This window comes from Homo sapiens, chromosome 18 (genome assembly GCF_000001405.40).
Source record: "Homo sapiens chromosome 18, GRCh38.p14 Primary Assembly".
Lineage (NCBI taxonomy): Eukaryota > Metazoa > Chordata > Mammalia > Primates > Hominidae > Homo > Homo sapiens.
Genome location: NC_000018.10, coordinates 72,086,643 through 72,093,040, shown reverse-complemented (window position 1 = coordinate 72,093,040; position 6,398 = coordinate 72,086,643). Strand labels below are relative to the sequence as shown.

General features: G+C 34.1%; 1 annotated feature.

The window, feature by feature from the left end:
• Positions 1,201-1,722: an enhancer, noted in NCBI's record as "OCT4-NANOG hESC enhancer chr18:69758554-69759075 (GRCh37/hg19 assembly coordinates)". NCBI's record gives its function as "activates a minimal SCP1, AML or CMV promoter by ChIP-STARR-seq in naive H9 embryonic stem cells {active_cell/tissue: H9 hESC(naive)}" and the evidence as "EXISTENCE:reporter gene assay evidence [ECO:0000049][PMID:30033119]".

The following is a 6,398-nucleotide window of genomic DNA, read 5'->3' as shown; positions in this document are numbered from 1 at the left end:
AAAAAAATAAAATCCCACAACTAACATCACACTTAATCATAAGAGACTGAACACTTTCCCCTTAAGAATGTAGGGGAAGGGTTTGGCTACTGTCATAACTTATTCAACATCGTAGACAACTCAAAGTGTATGGTGGGGATCAGTGACTGTGGTATAAACAAGGCTATAGTTATATAACACCTAAAAAGTCACAAATCCAAAATAAGGAGAAACGGCTGCATTTGTGAAGTAGGATGGAGAAACAGCAAGGCAAATTACAAGAAAAAGTGAACTTCATAAAAAATCAGGAGTACCCCTCGCACGTGTACGTATTGTAAGAATGTTGTATTTCATATATATTTTTAAAAGTGTTTTTTCCCATATTTCTGAATCTAGAACTCCTCAAATATTAACAGATTTTTCCTTGTCGTTTATTTTCTGTCCATTATAATGAATACCTATCAATGATATAGGCATTATTAATTTTAAAATAGGATGGTAAAATAATATTATCATTAATTAAACAATTTAAAAATACAGGGTAGCAAAATATTGATAGAGGTTTTCTCTGGCATGAGATACTTGAGGCTATTTTATTTTTCTTTTGCTTATTGACTCTTTGAGATTTTCTGCAATTAGCACATATAAAATTATATCCACTCGATAGATATACAGAGGATACACACATTTACACACGCATACACACTAAGTTAAGGTGTCAGGCACAGTAACAGACTTGAAACCTTTAGGATTATTCGGGCACAGTAAGAGGTTTAAAATTTAGTAAACTTTAGAAAACAAGAATATCCTAGCTTATAATTTAATGTAAAGATAATTAAGGAACACAAATAAAGTACTCTTAGTGTCCAAATGAACCCCACAGGAAATGGTACATTTCACAGGAAAGGATCTGGAAAGGCTTTATGAAGGTGATAGTATTTGATAAAAATCCTGACGACTACAAAATTTTGATGCACAAAAATGGGATAAAGAGCATCTTAAGCTGTTGAAAGATCATTTAGAAAAGCACAACTGGGTGAAACATGAAATGCATTAAAGGAACAGTCTGCAGCCAAGTAATGTTCCTGTAGAGAAATACTGTATCATAATGTGTGATTCGAAAAATTGGTGGCCAATTTGTGGATGACCTTAACTGCCAGGAAGAGGAAATTACACTTACTTTGGTAGGCAATGGAGTTTAAATGCATTAGAACAAGTAAAAAGCAATCTGTCACTCGCCTACCTATGATATATCAGTATGTTCCTTCAGGTTACCCCTAGAAATAGAGCCCGAGACAGGGCTTGCAGGCAGGTAGTTTGAGAGAAGATTCCTCGGGGAAAGAGTGAGGGAACAAGGACGAAGGAAAACCCGTGCTTTCTCCAGTTTGCTACTGCATGCACCTGGGTTTCACTCTACTGTGACTTCTGAAACCCATGCAGAATCCTTCTGAGGATTGTCTGCATGATTAACGTGAGAATGAGGAAATTACCAGTCGACTCTCTGATACCCCCATTTGGTGGCATTAACATACCCATAGGTTCCTGCTGCACTTACTCATATGCAGTTCCTGCCTCATAAGGTGTCCTAAGGCAGAAGATTGAGCTGCATTTTGTGCTTGGAATAAGGTGTCCTCTGCTTGAATTTGAGAACCCAAGGAATTTTTGATCACAGATGTGAGTGAAAACAGAAGTGACCTGAGATACAGGACTCTATGTTTATGGTTTTAGATATCTTATCTCATTTGATCCCCACAATAGAAATAGATATTATCTCAACTTAGGTTAAGTATCTTTGACGAAAACTAAACTAAACAAACTGAAAACTAAAGTAAAGGTAATATGAAGCTGTGCAAGCTAGTGAATAGCTGGACTCTTGTTTTACTCTAAAGGAAAGTTTATATATGAGCAAGGTAATTGTATGATCAAAACTGCAATTAAGAATGACTAACCAGTATGTCAAGGGAGAAAAATACTTAAAAGGGAAACAACTGACAAGAGGGGAATTCAAGAAAGATATTTTTTATGCAAGCAAAAGGGACTGTATTAAATTAGGAGCCTAAGAATCAAATTTAAACTAACTATTATTTAGCTTTGTAGCAATGGCTAAATTATATCATTTATTTGTTCATCAATTTTATCATAGGAATACACAGAGATTGCACTTGTGTTCTAATACCTGGCCAGTGCTGACGCTCCATGATTATGTGGCTGTAATAATAACATTGAAAGTGGAAAGTAGAAAGAAGCAAGTATGAATGAAATTAGGGAGGTAGAATATACCGAATGCATTAATTGGATAAGTGTAGAAACAAAAGTGCCAAACTATAAAAATACAACTTGATTTTTAATAAGTAATATATCTTTTGCTATGTCTCTGTGGGGGATTACAAACTTACAGTTCATGAGCATTGTCACATTTAAGCCACAAAATCTGTCTCTGATGAGGTTCTATTTTTAACCTATAGTCCACCTAAGGTTTTTAAAAATTGAGTTTATTGGCCATATTTACATAACTAGTAAGTGGGAAAGTATATTTTACCATCTGCTATCGTATCAGAGTCAATACTCACTGTTTTATATTGCTTCTAGCTCGATGCCTTTAAAAATTGGATTTGGTACAGGGAATAGAAACTTCGGTTTTCAATATATGTGAGCGCTAATGATAGAGGATGTCAACTTGATTTTGACACGTTTATTTCTTAATGCTACAGAGTAGGGAGAATAAAATTATGTTTTGTAATATAAGTTTTGTAAAAACAAAATCAGAGGACTAAAATCTGGTGTTATAAATTAGTATATTGGTAACAACTCATAGGGTTAGTGACTGGTTAATGAGGGCTTCTAAGTGTTGTCATTTTCTGTTTTGTGATCTGAGATTTGCTTAAAAAGGTATTCTCAGTTTGAACAGATACAATAAACTATGCATTTATGATTTCTGCAATTGTACATCCATATATCATAATATAAAAAGTTTTAAGAAGCATTACTTGTTAAAATGAATTATCTGAGGTTTCCACTTCCAGGAATACAGATAGAAAAAAAAAATTGTTGTACTCCTCTTACTAAATACAACAAAAACCCTGGACATTATATGCAAACAAATAAGAGAAAATTTAAAAACTGAGAATAGGAGGGCAGACAAGTAGAGACCTTACGGCAAAAGGAAGACATTGGTGTGGTTTCCCTAGATTTTTTTCCCTCATAATGTCCAGAATTGGAGCTGAAGAAGCTCTTGGAAACTAAATGAATCACTTCTAAGCAATCTATGGGTCAAATAGAAAGTAAAGCAAAATTTTAAAAAAATACATTGAACTGAATAAAAATGCTACATGTCAACATTTGTGAAATACAGCTAATGCAAAGCTGTGAGAAAAATTCGTAGCACTAAATGCAAATATGAAAAATGAGGAACTATCCCTTAATAACATAAGCTCCCACATAGAGAAACTAGAAATTTACCCTCTGGTTGAAGAAGTCAGTGTCTTTCTTGAGGCCCTGAATACTACTTATTTTTAAAAAATATTCGCATCTTGGATTTTTGAGATACCAAATCTTCTGATTTCATTTAGCTCTGGATTTTTTGTTTAAATTTTCTTTATGAATTTAACGTTTTTCAACCACTCCTTACATGTCAATATATCACAGAGCTTTGTCATTACTTTCCTTTCTGTATATTACAGACTACCTTAGTGAGAACGTTATTACAGACTACCTTAGTGAGAACTTTTGACACTTCTTGGTTTATCTTGTGCTTATTGATGACTCCTCAAAATCTCCCTTTAACCTAAGACTGACTGCTGAGATCCAGATGTATTCTCAGTTGTTACTTAGAAACATCACTGCAGTGTTTCATGGACATCTCAAACTCAGCTTTCAAAAAACTAAAGCACCATTAAAATAGTTTGCTAAGGTTGTTGAGGCATAGTACCAAAAGCCAGTTGGCTTAAACAACAGAAATGGGATGTTTCACAATAAATAGTCTCTGCAGACGAGAATTCCAAAATCACAGTGTTGGCAGGTGTGGTTCCTTCTGGGGCATGTGAGGGAGAATTTGTTCCAGGCCTCTCTCTTTGGGTTGAAGATGGCTGTCTGCTCTACATCTCTTCCCAGGCTCTTCCCTCTGTGTGTGCCTCTGTGTCCAAATTTCCCCTTTTCATAAAGTTATCAGTCGTTTGGATTAGTGCCCACCTTAATGACCTAATTTTAACTTGATTATCTCTGCAAAGGCCCTGTCTCCAAATAAGGTCACTTTCTGAGTACTGAGGAATAGAACTCCAATATCTGAACTTCAAAGAGAAACAATTCAACCCATAACAATCATGTTCCTGGAAAATAGGAAAGTGGGTTAGCAACTCCAGTGTGCACAGCAAGCGCCAGGATGGAAGGCGATGTGCTGCAGTTGAAGGACTTTGCTGTCCTTTCTCTGTGTTTTGGTGGTGTTCTATTAATACCTCTGTCCCAGTGCTTAATATTTTAGTTTATTTTCTGTTTGCTTGTTTCGTTATATTTTTGATAATTTGAGATTAACAAAAACATCAACTGTTGCCAGCTCTTTATATGCAGCTATGATTTGTTTTAATGTACATCACTGATGCTTACAAGAGTAGATACAAATCCATATTTTCTGAATACATAAAGTGACAGATAAAGGATCTAATGGCCTGCCCATCTCACCCTGTGTTTCTCACTGTAAATACACTAAATTCTCACCATTATCAAAAAATGCTATTTTCTTGCATATCTTTTTACACACTATGTTCTTGGCTTAAAATATCCTTCTATAGCTATAAGAAAATTGTTTATCTCATTCTTTTTAAAAAATACTCCAGTAGTTATTAAAGTTTTTAGTAGACATTAAATGCTCAATATCTGTTGAAGAGTGACTGGTCTTTCTAGCACAAAGCTTGTCAAATTTATAAATCAGTGATCATTTTCAAGAAAAATAAATATGACTTTAATCTTATGCTCTGCATTTGGTTGACAATTTCAATTCACACATTTTTAAATAAATGCACTTCCATTTTATCCAATTCTTAAGATAATCACAACTAAATATACTTTAGAAGTTGAAATAATTATTCCTAATTTGATCTTAATGTATTAATATTTTATTTTAGTCTGTGGGTATGAGAATACCATGTCTTACATATTTACAGGCATATCATTGTGCTTTTCCTAATACTGGATTAATTCTTAATGTACTTTTTTCAGTTTTGCATATTTATGTTCATTGAAATTTTTTTATTCATAGATATGTCTAAATAAAAGAGCAAGAAGGTAAAATACTAATGGCAGAACACAGAGTAACATATTCTCACCTCTCCTGATCTTTCTATGATTCATATATTTCATGGGACTATCAGACAGCTACATTTGCGTAGTTTAGTCCTCATGTGCAGTTTTGTTAATGGTCTAAGTCATTTCCAGTGGCAATTTCCTGGTGAGTGTTTACCTCCAGTAAAATGCTACTTCCAATGAAATAAGTCTACTGTGAAAGCTACAGGAAGAAATCAATATGAAGCAAGATCACTAAATTAATGTTACATCTCTTTGAGATGTTATTTTTATTCCATCTCCTTTTTGACTTACAGTTATAATTACAGTACTTACAATATTTTATATATTTCCCATATCAGAGTTATGGGATAATTTATTTGCCTAATAGAATATTAATTTCTCATCACAAATGTAATTTCTTATGATGGTCTTTACTATAAAATTATCTTTGATGTTACCAGGAGCACATCCCATCGATTAGAATCTCATAATCAGCCTGGTAACAAAGGCATGGCACAATGTCTAGCAGCGTCTGTTTTTAGGATGACAAACTATTGGCAGAGTATTGGCAAATAAATTTACTTTTTGCACCTTAAAATATGTCTAAAAATACCATAGTAAAAGTGTATATTAACATCTTTTACCTGTCCAATCAATGGAAAGAAAACAGAAGGAACCTGTACAGTATTAATGAGACTTTCACAAATACAAAGTCAGATGCTTGACCAGCAAGCAGCCTGACTTGAGCTGGTTGCATCGTGATGGATCAATGATGAGATTTTAAGAGTTCCATGGACTCTCAGGCATAGTAAAAGAAAACTGGACTCCTTACTCTTTCCTTATAAACTGTAATCTACATTATCTACATTAGTTCAAATTTTATGAAACATTTAAACCCGTGTGCCCTAAATTCATCTAAATGAAAGATATTTCCCACATATACTCAGGCTTTTTTGCCACTCTATTCACTACCAACAAACACAAGCTTTATGTAAGCCATCTATAGTTTCAACAACATTTCCTTCGTGTCCTTCTTCTGGAACAGAGCCTCCAAGTTCCTTCCAGTTCAATTTGTCCTCTATGTCACAACCAGAATCATTATCTTAAAACATAAAGACAACTTGTTATTCTCCCTTTCTACC